The sequence below is a fragment of the Homo sapiens genome, chromosome 18 (assembly GCF_000001405.40).
Source record: "Homo sapiens chromosome 18, GRCh38.p14 Primary Assembly".
Taxonomy (NCBI): Eukaryota; Metazoa; Chordata; class Mammalia; order Primates; family Hominidae; genus Homo; species Homo sapiens.
In genome coordinates this window covers 3,461,308-3,483,769 of record NC_000018.10, presented here as the reverse complement: position 1 = coordinate 3,483,769, position 22,462 = coordinate 3,461,308, and the positions used below count along the sequence as shown (strand labels likewise).

Sequence of the window (22,462 nt, the reverse complement as noted above, 5' to 3'; positions counted from 1 at the left end):
CTGCTTCCTCTTCTCTCACCTGGAAATCTATGTGGATTTTCCTACAGATTATAATTTGCTGATCTAACTAGTCTCCAGATTCATCTCTCCTGCTCCTCCCTGCTTTAAAATAGCTCATAGGACTGCTAATCGTATTTATGTATGTATATGTAGACTTAGGCGTGCATAAATATCAGAGATTACATAGGCTTTCTGTGGCCCAAGAGGTGAAATTATTTTGAGCTACCCACTCCATCTTCCCTTCTCTCCCCACACCAGTTCTCTATCTGTGGAAGCCCAAAGTGATTGCATAGGATTTCTATTAATTCTCCAGCAGAGACTTAAAGCCTGGGGTCTTGTTAGCCTTTGGGTTCCTGCTTCCAGATATGATGCTTCTATTCTGTATCATGTTGATTTGGACCTAAACCCAGTCCCTCCTTCCATGTACACACGCACACACTCACACTCACACATGCACGGAGTCCAAATGACTCCATACATTCAGGATGTGGGGTACAAGGAGAAGAGTAGATGTCAAAAGCACCCAAAAGCAGTCTGCATAAAATGGTTCTTAAACTGGCCGGGCACAGTGACTCACGCCTTTAATCCTAGCACTTTGGGAGACCAAGGCAGGTGGATCACCTGAGGTTGGCAGTCAAAGACCAAACTAGCCAACATGGCAAAACCCCGTCTCTACTAAAAATACAAAAATTAGCCAGGCATGGTAGTGGGCACCTGTAATCCCAGCTATTTGGGAGGCTGAGGAAAGGAGAATTGCTTGAACCTGGGAGGCAGAGGTTGCAGTGAGCAGAGATCGCACTACTGTACTCCAGCCTGGGCGACAAAGCGAGACTCTGTCTCAAAAAAAAAAAAAAAAAAAAAAAAGAATAAGTAAATAGATAAGAAAGAAACTAACTTTACACATTACAATTCTCTCTCTCCATGTGTATATATATGTGTATACATACATCTATACACATATATATGTATAGATATGTATGGTGGTGGGAGGAAAGGAGACATTAACTGCAGAAGATGAGGTGACACTTTGGCAAAACTGAAAATTCGGAGTAGAAGATGTCAATAAGAATGTAAGCTCCTGGATCCCTCCCCTAAAATTCTCAGCAATATTGGTGGTTGGAGGGAAGTACTAAATTCTCCCCATCCGGTAAGATGAGGGCTACAGTACATTTAGACAATTTTTTAAAGAAAGGGTGGTTGAACCAGAGGCTGAAAAACTGGAAATTTGAAACCTCAAATTCCAAAAATACACAAAAAGGAAGACACAACCACAGCGACCCAGAGCTGATGCAATGAGAATTCATGGGATAATAGAAATATCAGAAGCCAGAAAGCCAACTTTTCCGTATCTGAAATGTTACTACATGCTCTCTGGAGCAATTTGCCTCAAGTTGAATTTGGGTGAGAGGTTTATAATCCAGGAAAATCCTACATGTAGTTATATTGCCAATACTTTAGAAATTTTAAAGCACCCCTACATGTTTATCTTATTTGATTCTCCCAACATCTTCCTAAGTACCCCTCACACTGCACATAGCCACTGAGCCATGCCGCCCTAGTTCGGGAGCTGGGGCTTTGCTTCCTCCACCACTGAGCCGCTAGTGTCAGTTATCCTGCCCCGTTTTGGGTGTCCATGTGGGGAAAGTCTGGGGCTTTATCTATAGAATGAACCATGGGCAGTAGGCAGGCAGCTGGAGGAACAGCTGCCTTGACTCAAATAGCACAGAAGGCGATACTCTCTAAAACAGAGCTTGCCACCAGGGGTGCTGTAGGGGAGAAAATATTCTTTTCCTTACCCATTGCTAGGTCCATGGCTGAGGCACCTATAGCAAAAGACAGATTAACAAGAGCATACCAATTTATTTAAATTTCATGTAACACAAGAGCCTTTGGAAACCAAGGCTCAAAGAAACAGGGAAACGTGTTTTTATGTTAAACTTGATGAAGAGGGGACAGTGGAGGAGAAGTGTGATGAGACAAAGGGAGTGTGATGTAATAGTAATAAACTAGAGGGAACTTAGCAAGGCCAGTTTACTCAGATTCTTCTCTGTGTTCCTGGGTGTTCATTGATAAGGACTGTTCAGCCCAGCGTGGTGGCTCACGTCTATAATCCCAGCACTTTGGGAGGCCCAGGTGAGCGGATCCCTGGAGCCTAGGAGTTCGAGATCAGCCTGGGCAACACAGGGAGACCACTGTCTCTACAAAAAAATGTAAAAATTAGCCTGCAGTCTCAGCTACCTGGGAGGCTGAGAGGTGGGAGGATCGCTTGAGCCCAGCAGGTCAAGGCTGCAGTGATTGTGCCACTGCGCTCCAGCCTGGGCGACAAGAGTGAGACAGCGAGGACTTACCTCAAAAAAAAAGAAAAAGAATGCTCCTTTTCTCTGGGTATACAAAGGGCACCTCTCACATGAGGATCTTATGATCCACTCCAGAGGCAGGTCAGAGAATTCTTTTATGGCCTTCTTCAGGGGACAATGGCAGAGAAGATTAGAGAGTGAACTTCTTGCTTCTTCAGTTCTCTCAAATATAAGGTGTCATATTTTGGGGTAGTGAAGTCCCAAGCTCCCAAACTGCACACAGCACCTAGCATGGGCTTGGTTTGGAAGACTTTCATTTGCCTGACTCTTTTGCTGTCTCCCTTTGTATCAGCACCTCTCATCACCAGCCCCGACTATCTCCAAGGCCAGGATGCCCCATCTTTCTCTTCCTCACCCCTGCAGCACTGGTCATCTTTTGTGGTGACCTTGGCCTCATCACCCTCATCCCCTCACCTCACTTCCCTGCTGGGGTGAGTCTGCCAACTCCTCACTTCTCTTTTCATCCTATATTTACAGCATAAACCCTATGGCTTGCTGCTCCATTCCCTCTTTTGATTTCAAAAGTATACTTTGAGGCCAGGTGCAATGGCTCACATCTGTATTCCAAGGACTTTGGGAGGCTGAGGCAGGAGGATCGCTTGAGGTCAGGAGTTTGAGACCTGCCTGGGCAACATGGTGAGACCTCATCTCTATAAAAAACAAAAAAATTCACCAAACATGGTGGTACATACCTGTAGTTCCAGCTACTTAGGAGGCTGGGGCAGGAGGATCCCTTGAGCCAAAGAGTTTGAGGCTGCAGGGAATTATGACCTTCCTGTTGTGCTCCAGCCTGGGCAAGAGCAAGACCTTGTCTCTCAAAAAAAAAAAAAAAAAACCCTACTTTGAAAGCAAAACCAATGAGCAAGATGTATGTCTCTTTCCCTGCCCTTTTGCCATACACTCCTTGTGATCCTCAAGGCCTGTGAGCATCTCTGTCTGAACCTGGAAGAGGATGTACAAAGAGGTGAGGAGGAGGAAAGCACACAGCATCACGGTCTTTCTCCATACAGGTGAGATTTATTACCTGCATTTGCATATGAAGACATTGGGGTGAAGATCTGTAAGTGACTTATGCAAGTTCAGTCAGGCCAGCAGCAGCAGCACCGCTGGAAACAGAACTTCTGACCCATGCAGGCAGGCAGGGAGGGAGGTTTTACTGTATTGGGTGGCTGCTCAGAAGCCCACAGGGATTGGCTAACATATTCTAGACGTATAACCCTAACTTTATCGTCAACTTTATGACATGTCAATAAGATTAAAGCAGCAGGCAGGCTGGGTGCAGTGGCTCATGCCTGTAACCCCAGCACTTTGGGAGGCCAAGGCGGGAGGGTTACTTGAGCTCAGGAGTTTGAGACCAAGCATGGTGGTGCACACCTGTAGTCCCAGATACTTGTGGCTGAGGTAGGAGGATCACTTAAGCCCAGCAGGTGGAAGCTGCAGTGAGCTGTGATCATGCCATGGCACTCCAACCTGGATGACAGAGCAAGACCCTGCCTCAAAAACAAAAAACAAAAAAAAGCTCTACAAATAATTCACCATGTTTGTATAATATTTATGCTTTACCAAGCACATCACCATCCATCACCTCATTTATCCTTATGAAATCTCCATAACACAGATGTTATTCACATTTTATATGTGAAGAAATTAAGGCTCAGACAAGGTCATAATACTGGGAATTTGCATAATCAAGAATTAAAGGCTGTTCTTGTCTTTGAAAGTGGAGGTCATTCTCCTGCACTTGGCTGCTCTGAAATCCTTTTATGTTGTTGTGGACAAAGAGTTTCACTCTGTCACCCAGGCTGGAGTGCAGTGGGGCAATCTCAGCCCACTGTAGCCTCAACCTCTCAGGCTCAAGTGATCCTTCCACCTCGGCCTCTCAATTAGCTGGAACTACAGGCGTGCCCCACCAGGCCTGGCTAATTTTTGTATTTTTTTGTAGAGACGGGTTTTTGTCATGTTGTCCAGGCTGGTCTTGAACTCCTGGGCTCAAGTGATCCTCCCACCTTGGCTTCCTAAAGTGCTAGGATTACCGGCCTGAGCCACCGTGCCTGACCTGCTCTGAAATCCTTCATGACTGACCATCCCTACATCTCTTGGGGTTGTGGGTCATTGTGGCACAAGTAGCTTTAACTCAATTGCTCCATGAGTCTCAACAACTAAACAGTGTTGTAGGTTTGCTTTCTGTACGCCCCAGTTCACTTTATTGCACCTCACAGTCAGAGACCATTTGTCTAACCCAGGCCAAACATCTTTCAAATGGGTGTTTGTTCTTAATGACAATTCTATGTGCGTGAAAAATTGGGATAGATTGTTCCCTAGTGCTACTGGAAAAGCGCTTGCCATGGATGCCTTAGTATTAGACATGGCACGAGAGCCTGTGTCAGTTAGGATATAGACAGTCACAACTAAGAGGAAAGGTAACTAGACCCGGTTGAAACTATAACATGATTTTATTGGTTCTTCTAAGTGCCAAGTTTACAAACCACATAATCCTCAGGTATGGAATTATCTGGACATTTATGGCACAATCAGGGCTCTTGGACTCCATTCATTATCTCTACCCTCTTCCAAGTATTTGGTTTCTTCATTGTTCTGGCCTCTGTCCTAGTGGTGTAATGGACACATCAGTTCCTGTTTCCACATCTGTGCATACCCTGTCAGAAGGAAATGAGATCAGTTTTGTCCCAGAGGTCTAGGCTAAGCCATGAGTTTTATTCTTAATGGACTGGTGGAGTGCCGTGCTGGAACCAGTCATCAAGGCCAAGGCCATGGATGCACCAATTGACTTAGCCCAAGTCCGCATTCACCCTTTGAAGCCAGGGCGAGTATCACCTTTTCCTGTACCATATGGTCCCCCAAATGGAAAACATACACTGTTGGAAAGGAGAAAGGGGGAATGGCTATTGGGGAGGGAACACCAAGTGTCTACGCCTGCAGAGCTTCCCACCCCGCATGCCAGGGCATGTGGAGTGACTAGATTAAGATATGCTGAGATCACAGCAGGCCTTGGAGCTCACATAAGGCTGGAACAGCCAGAGTACCCAGTGAGATCTCCATCCTTGAGCCATTGTATACGCTGTACAAATGTGTCTACTTTCTAAGCTTGCCGTGATAAGAAAGAATTGCCAAGTACTGTGCTACCGAGCCATTTTGATGATTCTTATGCCATGAAAATAATTTCACAGTAATAGCCTCAGGCAATCTTCTCCTGACGGTAGTACTTTTATGAACTATCTTAAATTTCCATTTCTAGAAAAGGTTGTGGAAAAACTAGTTTGGATAGCACCTAATCTCTGAGTCTGAACATAAAGTATAGCTTTGATATCAAGAATCGATTGAGTGCTCTTCCCCAACCTTCCCCATAAGTGGGTTTGGGATTTATCCAGCTAGGTTTGATTGGAGATGATACTAGACTTTAGCCCTCTAGCTCCCCTAGACCAGGGTTTCTTATTTGGGGGCCTCAGAGATAAACACTCTGCCCTCAACCTGGCTTCCATCACAGAGCTTTGGTTCCTAAGGTCTGAAAACAAAATGTAGGGTGAGAAGGAAGGGTATATCCCTCCCCAATGCCTCAAGCTGGTCCAACTCTTAAAGTTACAAAAATAATCTATCCAGAGTTTTTCCAGGGCTGACCTGAAGCTTGGTGGTAGTGAACTCTTGAACTTACACTGAAAATGAGGACATAGGAGGAAAGGGAAAGAAGGGGCTAGCCAGAGTCCTTTCCTTTCCATCCTTTCACCCAGGCCTTTAGCAAGTGATTGGGGCCTGGCTCTTTCTTACTTTCCCCTCACCCTGCCTTCGTTCTAGAGACCCTCAGTGCAAAATATAGAGAATATACCAGTCTGAAGTAAGATGTGTGTTGAGAAATGCTGAGGTGGGGCCAGGGCCACTCATGAGCATGCAACCGCTGGAGTCACAAAGGGCTCCTTGCTCAGAGGGCCCTGCACTCAGACCAGCACTTTGCTATCCCCATCCTAAAGTAAGACGACAATGAAGTTTGCCACATCGATTGACTCTGCCTTTCATGAAAGACTTTTCTGTAGCATGTGATGCTGTTTGGTGGCATTTTACCCACAGTAGGACTACTTTCAAAATTGGAGTCTGATAAGGTTTGGCTTTGTCCTCACCCAAATCTCATTTTTTTTTTTTTTTTTTTGAGATGGAGTCTCGCTCTCTTGCCAGGCTGGAGTGCAGTGGCACAATCTCGGCTCACTGCAACCTTTGCCTCCCGGATTCAAGCAATTCTCCCGCCTCAGCCTGCCGAGTAGCTGGGACTACAGCCACCCGCCAGCACGCCTGGCCAATTTTTGTATTTTTAGTAGAGACGGGGTTTCACCATGTTGGCCAGGATGGTCTCAATCTCCTGACCTCGTAATCCGCCCGCCTCGGCCTCCCAAAGTGCTGGGATTACAGGTGTGAGCCACTGCGCCGGCCTTAACACTTCTTTTTTTTAAAAAAAATCAAGTGGTCTTTGGTATTTTTCTATTGATTGAATGTTTCATAAAATGAGACTATACAGTAGTATATGGATAGAACTTATAAATAAACATATATAGGTAGTACGCCCCCAATTTTTTTTAATTGAGAGTACTTGATCATAAAAGTGCTGGAATTACAGGCACGAGCCGCTGCGCCCGGCCAAATCTCATCTTGAATTGTAGCTCCCATAATTCCCACGTGTTGTGGGAGGGACCCGGAGGGAGATAAGTGAATCATGGGGGTGGTTTCCCCCATACTGTTCTCGTGGTAGTGAATAAGTCTCACGAGATCTGATGGTTTTATAAGAAGTTTCTTTCCCCTTTTTGCTCGGCTCTCATGCTCTCTTGTCTGCTGCCATATAAGACGTGCCTTTCGCCATGATTTTGTGGCCTCCCCAGCCATGTGGAACTGTGAGTCCATTAAACCTCTTTTTATTAGGCTGGGTGCAGTGGCTCATGCCTGTAATCCCAGCACTTTGGGAGGCAGAGGCAGGTGGATCACCTGAGGTCAGGAGGTAGAGACCAGCCTGGCCAACATGGTGAAACCCCATCTCTAATAGAAATATAAAAAGTTAGCCGGGTGTGGTGGCACATGCCTGTAATCCCAGCTACTCGGGAGGCTGAGGCAGGAGAATTGCTTCAATCCGGGATGTGGAGGTTGCAGTGAGCCAAGATCGTGCCATTGCACACAGCCTGAGCAACAAGAGCAAGACTCCATCTCAAACAAACAAACAAACAAAAACCGGCCGGGCGCGGTGGCTCACGCCTGTAATCCCAGCATTTTGGGAGGCCAAGGCGGGCGGATCACCTGAGGTCAGGAGTTCAAGACCAGCCTGGCCAACATGGTGAAACCCCGTTTCTACTAAAAATATAAAAACTAGCCGGGCATGGTGGTGGACGCCTGTTATCCCAGCTACTCGGGTGGCTGAGGCAGGAGAATTGCTTGAACCCAGGAGACAGAGGTTGCAGTGAGCCGACACAGTGCCGCTGCACTCCAGCCTCAGCAACAGACTGAGACTCTGTCTCCAAAAAAAAAAAAAAATTCTTTTTATTTATAAATTACCCAGTCTCGCGTATGTCTTTATCAGCAGTGTGAAATTGACTAATACAGAGTCAATTCTTTCAAACCCTGCCACTGTTTTATCAATCAACTAAGCTTCCAGAATATTCTAAATCCTTTGTTTTTTGGTGTTTTTTTTTTTTGAGACGGAGTTTCACTCTTGTCACCCACGCTGGAGTGCAGTGGTGTGATCTCAGCTCACTGCAACCTCCACCTTCCTGGTTCAAGCGATTCTCCTGCCTCAGCCTTCCGAGTAGCTGGGATTACAAGCGCCTGCCACCACAGCCAGCTAATTTTTGTATTTTTAGTAGAGATGGGGTTTCATAAAATGAGACTATACAGCAGTATATGGATAGAACTTATAAATAAACATATATAGGTAGTACGCCCCCAGTTTGGCCCCATGTTGGCCAGGCTGGTCTCAAACTCCTGACCTCAGGTGATCCACCCGCCTTGGCCTCCCAAAGTGCTGAGATTACTGGAGTGAGCCACCATGCCCAGCCTTTTGTTGTCAACAGCATTCACAGCATCTTCATCAGGAGTAGATTCCATCTCAAGAAACCACTTTCTTTGCTCATCCTTAAGAAACAGCTCCTGATCCATTCACATGTGATCATGAGATTGCAGCAATTCCACCACATGTTCAGGCTCCACTTCGAATTCTAATTATCTTGCTATTTGCAGCACATCTGCAGTGACTTCCTCCATTGAAGTCTTGAGCCCCTCAAAGTTACCCATGAGAATTGGAATCTTCCAAATTCCTGTTAATGTTGATATCTTGACCTCCTCCCATGAATCATAAATGTTCCTAATGGCATCTAGAGTGGTGAATTCTTTCCAGAAGGTTTTCAGTTGACTTTGCCCAGATCCATCAGAGGAATCACTATGGTAGCTCTAACCTTACAAATTGTGTTTCTCAAATAATAAGACTTGCAAGTTGAAATGACTCCTTGACCCATGAGCTGCCAAATGGATATTATGTTTGTAGGCATGAAAACAACATTCATCTTCTTGTACATCTCCATCAGAGCTCTTGGGCGACTAGCTTCATTGCCAATAAGCAGTAATATTTTGGAAGGAATTTTTTTTTCTGAGCAGTAGATCTCAACAGTGGGCTTAAAATATTCAGCTCACGCCTGTAATCCCAGCACTTTGGGAGGCCGAGGCGGGCGGATCACAAGGTCAGGAGATTGAGACCATCCTGGCTAACACAGTGAAATCCCGTCTCCACTAAAAACGCAAAAATTTAGCCAGGCGTGGTGGCAGACACCTGTAGTCCCAGCTGTAGGAGGCTGAGGCAAAAGAATGGCGTGAACCCAGGAGGAGGAGGTTGCAGCGAGCCGAGATTGTGCCACTGCACTCCAGCCTGGGTGACAGAGTGAGACTCCGTCTCAAAAAAAAAAAAAAAATTCAGCAAACCATGATGTAAACAGATATGCTGTCATCCAGGCTGTATTGTTCCATCTGTAGAGCACAGGAAGAGTAGATTCAACATAATTCTTAAGGACTCAAGGATTTTTAGAATAGTAAGTGAGCATTGGTTTCAACTTAAAATCACCTGCTGCAGTAGCCCCTAATAAGAGAGTCAACCTGTCTCTTAAAGCTTAAAGCCAGACATTGACTTCTCTTCTCCAGCTATTAAAGGTCTAGATGGCATCTTCTACTAGTAGAAAGCTGTTTTGTCTACATTGAAAATCTGTTATTGAATGTAGCCACCTTCATCAATTACCTTAGCAAGATCTTCTGGATGACTTGCTGCAGCTTCCCCATCAGCACTTGCTGCTTCACCTTGCACTTTTATGTTATGGAGATGGCTTCTTTCCTTAAACCTCTGGATCAAGCTCTGCTAACTTCCAGGTTTTCTTCTGCAGCTTCCTCACCTCTTTCACCTTTTTCTTCTGCAGCTTCCTTCACAGAACTGAAGAGAATTAAGACCTTGCTCTGGATTAGGCTTTGGCATAAGGGAATGCTGTGGCTGGTTTGATCTTTATCCAAACCATTCAAACTTTCTCCATATCAGCAATAGGGCTGTTTTGCTTTCTTACCACTTGTATGTTCATTGGAGTAGCACTTTTAATTTCTTTCAAGAACATTTGGCCAGGCACAGTGGCTCACGCCTGTAATCCCAGCACTTTGGGAGGCGGAGGCAGGCGGATCGCCTGAGGTCAGGATTTCGAGACCAGCCTGGCCAATGTGGCGAAATCCCATCTCTACTAAAAATAGAAAAAATTAGCTGGGCTTGGTGGCGAGGGCCTGTAATTCCAGCTACTTGGGAGGCTGAGGCAGGGAGAATTGCTTGAACCACGGGAGACAGAGGTTGCAGTGAGCTGAGATCATGCCATTGCACTCCAGCCTGGGCAACAGAGTGAGACTCCGTCTCAAAAACAAACAAACAAACAAAATAAAACCATTTCCTTTGCATTCACAACTTGGCTAACTAGTTGGCACAAGAGACCCAGCTTTTGGTCTGTCTCAGCTTTCAGCATGTCTTCCTCACTAAGCTTAATCATTTCTTGCTTTTGACTGAAAGTGAAAGACCTCTGACTTCCTTTCACTTGAACTCTTCTGGGTGATTATAGTTATAAATTGGCCTAATTCCAATATCATTTTATCCCCCGGAATAGGGAGACCCGAGGAGAGGGACAGAGATGAGGGAACAGCCAGTCAGTGGAGCAATCAGAACACACACGTTTATTGATTAAGTTCATTGTCTTATATGTGTGCGGTTCGTGGTGACCCCAAACAATTACAATAGTAACATGAAAGATACTGGTCAGCCGGGCACGGTGGCTCACGCCTGTAATCGCAGCACTTTGGGAAGACAAGGTGGGTGGATCACGAGGTCAGGAGTTCAAGACCAGCCTGGCCAAGATGGTGAAACCCTGGCTCTACTAAAACTACAAAAATTAGTCAGGCGTGGTGGCAGGTGCCTGTAATCCCAGATACTCAAGAAGCTGAGGCAGGAGAATCGCTTGAATCCTGGGCGGCAGAGGTTGCATTGAGCCGAGATCGCATCCCTGCATTCCAGCCTGGGCGACAGAGTGAGACTCCGTTAAAAAAATAATAATAATAAATAAATAAAATTACTGGTCACAGATTACCCTAACAGGTATAAAAGTCATGAAAAAGTTTGAAATACTGTGACAGTTACCAAAAATGTGACAGAGACCAGAAGTGAGCATATGCTACTGGAAAAACGGTGCCGACAGACTTGCTTGACACAGGGTTGCCACCAACCTTCATTTGTAAAATATGTGGTATCTGGAAAGTGCAGTAACACAAAGCACAATACAAGGCTAGTACAAGGTGCACTTGTATTAGCCAAACACTGATGCTGAAAACAATGACATACAAAGACAGGGAAAGAGAAGGTACCCCTCAGTTCCTTTTCCTTTCAGTCCTTCCTTACTAAGCCAAAGGTAGAGTGATGGTAGGATACGAGCATATTAAGAAGTGAAAAAAAAGCCAGTGCAGTGGCTCACACCTGTAATCCCAGCACCCTGGGAAGCCGAGTTGGGAGGATCACCTGAGCCCAGGAATTTGAGACCAGCCTGGGCAACATAGCGAGACCCCATCTCTACAAAAATTACAAAAAATTAGTGGGGCTTGATGGAGCATGCCTGTGGTCCTAGCTACTCAAGAGGCTGAGGCAGAAGGATCACTTGAGTCCAAGAGTTCAAGGCTGCAGTGAGCTATGATGGCACCACTGCACTAGGCAACAGAGCAAGACCCCATCTCATAAGAGAAGAAGTGAAGAGGCCCTGCACAGTTGCTCACGCTTGTAATCCTAGCAGTTTGGGAGGCCGAGGTGGGCAGATACCTTGAGTTCAGGAGTTCAAGACCAGCCTGGCCAGATGGCGAAACCCCATCTGTACTAAACGTACAAAATTAGCCAGGCTTGGTGGCACACATCAGTAATCCCAGCTACTCAGGAGGTTGAGGCAGGAGAATCACTTGAACCTGGGAGACGGAGGTTGCAGTGAGCCCATATCCCACCACTACACTCCAGCCTGGATGACAGAGCAAGACTCCATCTCAAAAAAAAAAAAAGTAAAGGAAAAAAATCTTAGTTACTTGTATGTAGTGTTTCCCCTGTTCTAGTAAAAATAAAACATATATCTATGCATAAGCAATGAAATAGAAAGTGTGTAACTTAGGTGATTCTAAGTTAAATGCGCTTATCTTTCCCATTGAAAACTGCTACTGCACAATGTAAAGCCAAGTGGTAAAAATTCATGTGAATAATTTTAAATTGTAGTTTATCTCTACTTAAAACAATTTTAAATAGCAAACAGAAAACACCAAGACAAGTTGGCAGAGAGGAAAAAGACATTTGAGTACCTTTAATGATACTGTTTTTTGTGTTTTTGGGAGGGGCTATATATATGTACTTTGCCCTGGGCCCTGTGAATTCCAGAGCTGGCCCAGGGCTGAGCTTAGACACCTGCATTGGAAAACCACTGCCAGAAGATTCAGGTGCACAACCAGAGCTGGGGATCTTGGGTCTATTTCAAAGGCTTCGGAGTCCTCTACTCATACCTGCCCGCTTCACTGCACACCTGGTCCCTCTCCACGTTTGCCTAAGGCAGTCCTGAACTCAAAGTATTCTGCCTTGCATAGCTGCAGCTCTCTCTCAAATAAGACTTACCCTATGTGCTTAATTTTTATTTTTTTATTTTTATTTTTTGAGACAGAATCTTGCTCTGTTGCCTAGGCTGGAATGCAGTGGCACAATCTCAGCTCATTGCAACCTCCGCCTCCCGGGTTCAAGCGATTATCCTGCCTCAGCCTCCCAAGTAGCTGGGATTACAGGCACGCATCACGACATACAGCTAATTTTTGTATTTTTAGTAGAGACGGGCTTTCACCATGTTGGTCAGGCTGGTCTCGAACTCCTGGCCTCAAGTGATCTGCCCACCTCTGCTTCCCAAAGTGCTGGGATTACAGATGTGAGCCACTGTGCCTGGCCAAATGTGCTTAATATTAAAGCCAACACTTGCCCAGCTGCTCTGAAAGGACAGCTCAGTTTTAAAAGCACTATGTCCTGACTGCACGTTACACATTTTTATTCCTTGAAGTAACAAGGCTCTTTTCTCTCAGTTTCCAAATGCTCCTTGACTTCTCAACTAAGTGTACATTGATACAATCACAGTCATTTTCCTAATCAATGCCAGGTTTTCCATCCTTGGAGGTCCTTGAGGCTCCCTGAGGTCTTCTCACCTTCTTCTTCCGATGAAGAACATCACCCTTGGTCTTAGCAGGGCTGGCCTGGCTCCACCCACCAGGCCATGATGCCCCCTCTCTTCCTGCCTCTGTCTCCTCCACCCCTTTCTGTTCACCCTCCCTCTTCTGCCCTGTACCACCCTGGTGTTCTGCTCTCCACCATCTGCCCTGGCATCAGGGGATGCTTCCTCTTCACATCAATTCCTATTACTTCGACTAAAACAAACCCTTAGACCAGACTGTTATTTTCTTTTTCTTTTTTTGGGATGGAGTCTCACTCTGTCTCCCAGGCTGGAGTGCAGTGGTGCGATCTCAGCTTACTGTAACCTCTACCTCCCAGGTTCAAGCGATTCTTCTGCCTCGGCCTCCCGAATAGCTGGTATTACAAGCATAGGCCACCAGGCATAGGCCACCATGCTTGGCTAATTTTTGTATGTTTAGTAGAGATGGGGTTTCATCATGTTGGCAAGGCTGGTCTCAAACTCCTAGCATCAAGTGATCCATCGGTCTTGGCCTCCCAAAGTACTGGGATTGCAGGCATGAGCCAAGCCACCGTGCCTGGCTGACTGTCCTTTTCTCTGGACAGAAATGTCATCCCGAAAGTTTCAAATCACCCTATTGATGGTTTTGCCCAAAGAAACCAATCATTTCATCATTCTGAGATGCCCTCTACTGAACTTTTTATTTGCATTTTCTTCTATGGCAAACCTTTCACCTAGGCTTAGGATGAGAGGTATCTTATGGAACTTTCACTGATTTCAAATAGCCTACACTGTTACTAGATCTATATGTATTATTTATGTCCTTAGAAAGTTAGAGATTTCAGAGGCTAAAGATATCATCTAATCCAACTCTATGCTTTACTGACAAGAAAACTAGCTCAAAGAAGTTAGTTTACTCCTAGCCACCCAGCTAGTATTATGCTGGCCTAGTGTCATAGTTAGGTCTTCTGGAGCTAAGCTCAGTTCTCTTCCTTCTGTATCGGGGGCAGCTTGGGTTACTGCATATCGAAATCACAAAAAGCAGATTGAGGCTTCTTCAGAGTGTTCTACTTACGTGAGCCCAGAGGGAGAAGGAGAAAGCAAATTGGAGGCTCTGAGTGGTTAGCCCTTTAGTAATAAAGAACCGGTGTTGGGCCAGGTGCGGTGGCTCACGCCTGTAATCCCAGCACTTTGGGAGGCCGAGGCGGGTGGATCACAAGGTCAGGAGTTTGAGACCAGCCTGGCCAACATGGTGAAACCCCGTCTCTACTAAAGATACAAAACATTAGCTGGGCGTGGTGGCACACGCCTGTAATCCCAGCTACTCGGGAGGCTGAGGCAGGAGAATCACTTGAACCCAGGAGGTGGAGGTTGCAGTGAGCCGAGATTGCGCCATTGCACTCCAGCCTGGGTGACAGGGAGAGACTCGGTCTCAAAAAAAAAAAAAAAAAAAAAAGACCTGGTGTTGTTTTCTGCATTATAGGAATGATGCCAGTGGTAAAAAAAAAAATCACGCAGCTTGGTTTCAGGGATGATGATGACCTCATCAGCACTACAACAGCCACCACTATCTCCAGCCTACAGCCCCCGCCTGAAGCCCTCACACTACTTCCTTGTATAACATCATAGGAGAGAAGTAAAGACAGCATTAAGGATCGGGGGAAGGGAACTTTACTGCTGCTGTTGTAAGAAACTGGAGAAAGGCAGACGAGAGGTGTGGGAAATAGGCGAGGCCAGGACCCAGCAGGACCACCTCAGAGGCGGACTTGGGGACAGTCACCTCCCAGGCGGCAAGTGGAAACCGGAGTCAGAACCTGAGCCAGGTAGATTTGCTCATCTAAGATCCAACAATAACATGGATTTGTAGGTCAATCAGCTTTGCTCTAAAACTCTAAAGAGGTTCTACATTGTTACCTCATTTAATCCTCAACAACCTTGAAATTTAGGTATCTGTTTTTTTATATAACGAGAGATGAAGAAGCCCAGATTTAGAGATGCCAAATGACTTGAGCAGCTACAGAAGTTCAATTCTCTTTCCCCTGTTTCCTTAGTGTTTTTTTTTTGAGACAAAGTCTCACTGTTGTGCAGGCTGGAGTGCCATGGCACAAATTCAGCTCGCTGCAACCTCCGCCTCCCAGGTACAAGTGATTCTCATTCCTCAGCCTCCTACTGATGCGTAGCTGGAACTACAGGCATGCGATACCATGCCTGGCTAATTTTTGTATTTTTAGTAGAGACAGGGTTTCGCTATGTTGGCCAGGCTGGTCTTGAACTCCTGACCTCAAGTAATCCACCAGCATCAGCCTCCTAGAGTGCTGGAATTACAGATGTCAGTCACCGCGCCCAGCTCCCCAGTGGTTCTAAAATATCTCCCAATGCAATGTAAAAAATGCATCAATTTTTTAAAATTCCAAACATGGGAGTGTAAGACTCTGGAGCAGAGTTAAGGGAAATGTGCCTGGAAAGGGAAATAAAGCCCAAGGGCAAGTATGAACCTGTCATTGAGAGTAAAAAGGATGAGAGGCCAAGGGCAATGGCTCATGCCTATAATCCCAGCACTTTGGGAGGCTGAGGCGGGAGGATCACTTGAGCCCAGGAGTTTGAGACTAGCCCCGGCAACATAGAGAGACCCTGTCTGTACAAAAATTTTTTTTTTGAGACGGAGTTTCGCTTTTGTTGCCCAGGCTGGAGTGCATGATGCGATATCGGCTCACTGCAACCTCTGCCTTCCGGGTTCAAGCAATTCTCCTGCCTCAGTCTCCCGAGTAGCTGAGATCACAGGCACGCACCACCACACCTGGCTGATTTTGTATTTTTAGTAGAGATGGGGTTTCTCTATGTTGGTCAGGCTGGTCTTGAACTCCCGACCTCAGGTGATCCCCATGCCTTGGCCTCCCAAAGTGCTGGGATAACAAGCGTGAGCCACTGCGCCCAGCCTGTACATTTTTTTTTTTTTAAATTAGCCAAGTGTGGTGGTGTGCACCTGTAGTCCCAGCTACTCAGGAGGCTGAGGTGGGAGGATCACTTGAGCCTGGGATGGTGAGGCTGCTGTGAACTATGATTGTCCAGCCTGGACAAGTGAAACCTTGTCTCAAAAAAAAAAAAGGGTAAGAGCTCAACTTTTCGAAAAAATACCCATGCTATCTGACCTACCACCCTGGCTTAGTAAAGGGTACTGCCATTATGTTTCTAGCTCAGAGTTCTCAATCCACTGCCAAAGCCTCAGTTACTATCACCCAAACCTGTTATCCAGGTGTCAACTTCATGGACAGAATATGTTGCACTTAGCAGCTGCATTACGACAACAGAGTTCCCCGGAACTGAATTGTTGTTACTTCCAGCATTAGACGCAGGCATTAATTTACATATACCTGCATACACATCACTGTAAACGTGCCTGAGTCCAGCTTCTCCTTTTGCAGAGAGATTTGATAGCCCCTGGATGTGGATGCAGGGCTTCACACCTGATGCCTGGGATGATCATCCATAACGCACAATGTGGAAAATGCCCTTCCAGGAAACCAGGCTGCTGTGTGTGAACCTAGTGAGCAAGCATAGAAACAGGAAGGCTGAGATTAGAGCCTGCTCTACAGCGTTTTGATGTTTCCTGAGCCACTGCTGAGGCTCTGAGAGCTGATCAAAGGTACCTCTGCAGGCTCAAATTAACACAGAGTTGGTGAATCAGGCCAGCACCTGCCTGCAAATAGCAGCATATTTCACCAAATCAGGTTAATCTTTTCATCAAGGCAGGAGGTGGCAATCCTTTCATAAAACCTTCACAAGTTAAGTTTATTCCTGTTGTACCTTAGCTTTCTGAAGGAAAAGTAATGAATGGCCTGTTCAATTTTCTTCCCTTGGAGGTACGTATTTATTTTAAAGCTGATCTTTACCTCATGGTGTATACCATTGAAGACCTCCAGCCCTAAAGAACTTGCCTTGTTTCAAAAATGGTGGAGGTTTTGGGGTTGAAAGAGAAGAATGGGAAGGCATTGTCATAAATCTTCACTTTCCTTTTAATGCAGGTGGGATTTATAACTTCAAGTATTTGTATAAGAGCAGTACCTCACCTCTGTTTGGGGAAATATAGCTAAAAAGCCATAATTTTTGCAGAGAGAAAGCAGAAAGGCGCAGCACAGAGTAAACTATAGCCACTGGATAGATCTAAAGATTCTAACAGAGCTCAAATAAAAAACAGAAACTAACTTAAAAAAAAAAAAAAAGGTACTAGCCTAAGGCTGCAGGCTCAGAAAACCGATACCTACAAAGGGAAATGAAATGCATCGAATAATAGATTAAGTGTTAATACTTACGCAGAGAAGCTTCAAAACAGATTTCTTGCCTTGGAGGAGTTCATTATTTCAGGCATTGGCTAGTCATAAGACTTAGGAAACCAAGAGGATGTGTCAGATCCTGCAAGTCTCTCCAAGAAGCAGATGTGGTCACAAGGAAATGGAATGGGGGAGGGGAGGGAGGAATTCGAGAGAGCAGAAAAATAAGTTGAGATATTTGGAAAATAGAGCTTGCATATGATTATCTGCCAAAGCAACCCCCAAATTTTTATTGAACAGTATAATAAAAATGGAGACAGTTCCAAGTTGTTTCATTTCGGGGATAGGGTGTGGAAAGAGTGTGAGCAAACAGAATCACCCCATGACTGGGGGCCCCATTACAGCTGGTAACCACAGACAAGCTGAACTTTGAAGAGTGTCAGTTTCCTCAGCTACACAATGGGAATAACACGTCCCATTAGGGTTGTGAGGACTAAATATGTATATGTGGTATTCAACAAATACAATAATAATATAATAGATAATAATTTAATATAAGGTGTTTGATAAGTACATCTTTTCCTTCTCAAATTAATCCAACACTTTCACTTCAATACTGGGTTTACAGATGATACCAGAAAATAACACTATAATGGAAAGAGCTATTGTTATTTATCTATTTGTTTTTGAGATGGAGTCTCATTCTTGCCCAGGCTGGAATGCAGTGGCGTGATCTCCTCTCACTGCAACCTCCGCCTCCCAAGTCCAGGCGATCCTCCTGCTTCAGCCTCCCAAGTAGCTGGGATTACAGGCATGCACCACCATGCTCTGCTAATCTTTGTATTTTTAGTAGAGATGGGGTTTCACCATGTTGGCCAGGCTGGTCTCGAACTCCTAGCCTCAAGTGATCTGCCCACCTTGGCCTCTCAAAGCCCTGGGATTACAGATGTGAGCCATCACGCCTGGCTGGGCTATTTTTTTGTTTAAGTTTCTTACTTTTATTTTTTCAATTAACAAAAGTATATATTTATGGTATACAACATGGTGTTTTGATATGTGTATACATTGTGAAATGACTGAATCAAGCTGTTAATTAGAGAATTTAAAATAAATGATGTTCTAGATTGTGTAGATTTATTGTACAAGCAGGCTAGGGGAAAAAATGTTTTGTTCGTTTTGTTTTGTTTTGTTTTGTTTTGAGACAGAGTCTCGCTCTGTCGCCCAGGCTGGAGTGCAGTGGCGCGATCTCGGCTCACTGCAAGCTCTGCCTCCCAGGTTCACGCCATTCTCCTGCCTCAGCCTCCCGAGTAGCTGGGACTACAGGTGCCCGCTACCACGCCCGGCTAATTTTTTGTATTTTTAGTAGAGATGGGGTTTCACCGTGTTAACCAGGATGGTCTCGATCTCCTGACCTCGTGATCCGCTGGCCTCGGCCTCCCCAAGTGCTGGGATTACAGGCGTGAGCCACAGCACCCGGCCAATGTTTTGGTTTTTTTTTTGAGACAGTGCCTTGCTCTGTTGCCCATGCTGGAGTGCAGTGGCGCAACCACGGCTCACTGCAGCCTCAAACTCCTGGGCTCTAGCAATCCTCCTGCCTCAGCCTCCCAAGTAGTTGGGACTAAAGGTGCACACCACCATGCCTGGCTAATTTTTAATTTTTTTGTAGAGACAAGATCTCGCTATGCTGCCCAGACTGGTAAGCCCCCACGCTCAGCTGGGAAAAGATGTTGACTAATGTAATACACTTGGGCTTTTCACAGAATCATTCAAGTAAATCAAATTTCAAAATGAAAATCAGGCTAGGCACAGTGGCTCACACTTGTAATCCCAGCACTTTGGGAAGCCGAGGCAGAAGGATTGCTTGAGCTCAGGAGTTTGGGACCAGCCTGAGCAACACAGCGAGACTTCATCTCTATAAAATTTTAAAAGCTAGGCCTGGTGGAGCTCACCTGTAGTCCTAGGTACTCAGGAGGCTGAGGCAGGAGGATCATTTGAGCCCAGGAGTTCAAGACTGCAATGAGCTATGACCACATCACTGCATTCCAGCCTGGGTGGCACAGCAAGATCCATTCTCAAAACAATAACCACCACCACCAAAAAATCCCTGAAAATCATTGGAAAGAAATTAAAAGCAATAAAACATTAATAATCAGACTAGGTAACAGTCAAAAAGTTGTTTTGACTTGTTAAACAGGATAATTTTTTAAAAGAGGCATATGTAAAAATTTAAATGTGTACCTTTTGTTGCATTTCAACCTATTTACAGTCTCTGAAAGCCTTATCCTCACATTACAATTTATATGGAGATAATTTATGCCTTTAGAGTATTAAAATATATATTAGCAAAAATTTGAGACAAGATAGGAGAATTGAATTTGTCCTAAGATCATAAGTTAGAATGATCTGATCAAATAAGAATATGTTCAAGTTTCAGTAATTTTCTTTATAAAGAAAATAATTTGGAGGCTGGGCACGGTGGCTCACGCCTGTAATCCCAACACTTTGGGAGGCCAAGGCGGGTGGATCATTTGAGGTCAGGAGGAGTTCAAGACCAGACTAGCCAACATGGTGAAACCCTGTGTCTACTAAAAATACAAAAAAAGAGTGGGACGTGGTGGCACACGCCTGTAATTCCAGCTACTTGGGAGGCTGAGGCAGGAAAGTCACTTGAACCTGGGAGGTGGAGGTTGCAGTGAGCCGAGATTGAGCCACTGCACTCCAGCCTGGGTGACAGAATGAGACCCTGTCTCAGGAAAAAAAAAAAGGAAAATAGTTTGGAATATTTTTAAAAAACAAAACAAGCTGACACTTCCTAGAGTAACAATTTATCTTCTGAAATCCCTCCATGGTTTTATTTTCCTTACCTCTATGTTAAATATTTGTCTATAAATATGTTCCTTCTAAACCTGAGTAAATTTCCATCATTGGATTTGGTTTCCTTTCTAAGTCACCCACAGTGTGCTTCAAAGGTTGCACATTCTATTGATGTCTATAACACATTTCATTCAAAAACCCCGTTTCCTTGATATTTAGTTAAATCTCTGTACTACTTATTATTTTTATTCATTGATTTCTCATGCTTCCTTTCTTTGCCAGCTGTGCTATTGTAACCATCAACCCTAAGTTACTGCTCTTCTTTCAGCCACAAAGCATTTGTTGAATGTCTCTCTTTTCAGCCTCTGAATCATAAAACTCAGCCCAGAACATAGCCTGTTTTTAATTAGAGGTCACGATTTTTGGAGGTTAAGACTTGACACATTCTCCTGTTAATGAGCTGAATGAGACCTAAAACTGATCTCTAAACATTGCTTTTTGCTCTCTGGCCAGTTTCCAGAGATAAATTTTACTTTTTGATTGAATACAAATGAATATTTTGTATTCCTGCAGTAAGTTTTGGGGTCTATCACTCAGAGGCTTAGCTTTACATATGGTATGAGCTATGTGTATATAGTACCAAATATCAAATTTATGCTAAACTCTAATTGAACAAGCTGACCTGGGTGACAAAATAATTCTACAGCAAATTATATTTCTGTAAGACAAATTACATTTCTGTAAGACTCTAATTTTCAGTCCTTCTGTCCAAACAAAAAAGACTACAGAAACAATTTTTGTTTTGTTTTGTTTTTAGGTCTGGAAAAAGAACGGTCAACTCCCCATGTTCTGGATAAGGACAGAAACAATGGCTGATTTAAAGAATTATTTAAGGCAATGGTTCTCAATCTTGTCTATGCATTGGAATCACTAAGAGATCTTCTAAAAATTCCCAACTCGAGGCCACAGTTTTTTTTGTTTGTTTTGTTTTGTTTTTTGTTTGTTTTTTTTTAGCTTTCTAGGTGATTCCAGTGTTCAGTTAAGTTTGAGAACCACTGATTTGGAGTTTCAAAGTAACTATAGTAAAATTCTAGTTTCTAGTAATAGTGGATTTTTTTTTTCCTTTTTCAGACTAATTCCCTCCAGGTTAACAATCATGAAGTGTGAATGAACAAAAAGTTAAACAAACAAAAAGCTAGTTGAAGGCCTGAAGAGTAACCAAAAGCATAAACTGGAGGGTCGTCTTCCCCTAAAAGAAGAGAACTTCAAGATGTACAAGTTTGCACCTTTTGCCTGAAGGCAGTCCTCATTCTTCAGAAGGTTAGGGGTGGCAGAAAGCTGCATCTTCAGTGGCTTGAGATGTCAAGGACAGAAATGGGGTGGGCAGAGCAGAGCAAAAGTTAAGAAAGTTAGGAGAAGAATTCTGGAAAGAGGGGAACTGAAGAAGGAGCAAATCTCAACCTCTGAACAGAAATTTTGTTCAAATCCCTAGTTGGTTTGTGCAGCAGGGGAGACGCCAGTGGGCCCATTGAAAGGCAGCAGCCGGAAGCTGAAAACTAATCAGAGACTTCGGCTGCTATCCATTACAGGATGGTTTGAAGTTTCAGTTCAGGCGAATGAGCTGCTTGAGGACAAAAGTTAACTATTCTGAGGAATGTAGCCAAATCCGTAGTCTTTATTAATGTACCATCCATACTGTCCAGCATGTAATAAAAAATCACTAGACAAGCAAAAAAAAAAAATGACCCCATACAGAAGTGAAATATAATCAATGGAAACTGATTCTGATTAGGACATGTTACAATTAGCAAACAAGTATTTAAGGCAGCTATTATAAATGCTTATAAGGATATATATTCATAATTAGTAATGAGGAATCTCAGAGAATTAGGAATACTAAAGAACCAAGTGGAAATTTTACATGTGAAAAATACTAGTACTATAATGAAAGTCCACTGGATACGTTCATGAGCAGACTGAAGACAGCAGAAGAGTTAGTGAATTGCAAATAAATTATACAAATTATTCAATCTAAAACAGAAACAAGACTGAAGAAAAGAGCTTCAGAGACATACAGGACAACCTCAAGTGATCTAATGTAAATTTGCTGGAGTTCTGAGACAGGAAAGCAAGAAATAAATGGAAAAAATGGCCAAAATTTCCCCAAGTTTGATTTTAAAATAAATAAAAAAAATAGATTTACAGATCCAAAAGTTCAATGAACCCCCAGCTAAATAAGTACAAACAAACCATACCTAGGCATATTTTAGTGACACTG

At 44.2% G+C, this 22,462-nt stretch overlaps 2 long non-coding RNA genes across 3 annotated transcripts, besides 2 other annotated features; one reads left to right on the top strand and one right to left on the bottom strand.

Annotated features, from left to right (window-relative positions):
* The first annotated feature begins 2,045 nt into the window (after positions 1 to 2,045).
* On the top strand, positions 2,046 to 21,926 carry LOC105371965 (uncharacterized). The gene is made up of 3 exons (XR_935106.3): positions 2,046 to 2,133; positions 3,276 to 3,367; positions 21,316 to 21,926. It is a non-coding gene; the product is annotated as an uncharacterized LOC105371965 (long non-coding RNA).
* Positions 4,792 to 17,520, bottom strand: GAPLINC (gastric adenocarcinoma associated, positive CD44 regulator, long intergenic non-coding RNA). 2 transcript variants are annotated; one of them, NR_110429.1, is made up of 3 exons: positions 17,413 to 17,520; positions 16,474 to 16,643; positions 4,792 to 5,014 (listed from the first exon to the last, which is right to left on the bottom strand). It is a non-coding gene; the product is annotated as a gastric adenocarcinoma associated, positive CD44 regulator, long intergenic non-coding RNA (long non-coding RNA). The 2 variants fall into 2 exon arrangements; NR_110428.1 differs by having other exon boundaries at positions 16,500 to 16,643.
* Positions 13,842 to 14,632: an enhancer, noted in NCBI's record as "H3K4me1 hESC enhancer chr18:3469136-3469926 (GRCh37/hg19 assembly coordinates)". NCBI's record gives its function as "activates a minimal SCP1, AML or CMV promoter by ChIP-STARR-seq in naive H9 embryonic stem cells {active_cell/tissue: H9 hESC(naive)}" and the evidence as "EXISTENCE:reporter gene assay evidence [ECO:0000049][PMID:30033119]".
* Positions 16,330 to 17,017: an enhancer, noted in NCBI's record as "OCT4-NANOG hESC enhancer chr18:3466751-3467438 (GRCh37/hg19 assembly coordinates)". NCBI's record gives its function as "activates a minimal SCP1, AML or CMV promoter by ChIP-STARR-seq in naive H9 embryonic stem cells {active_cell/tissue: H9 hESC(naive)}" and the evidence as "EXISTENCE:reporter gene assay evidence [ECO:0000049][PMID:30033119]".
* Positions 21,927 to 22,462: the final 536 nt, after the last annotated feature.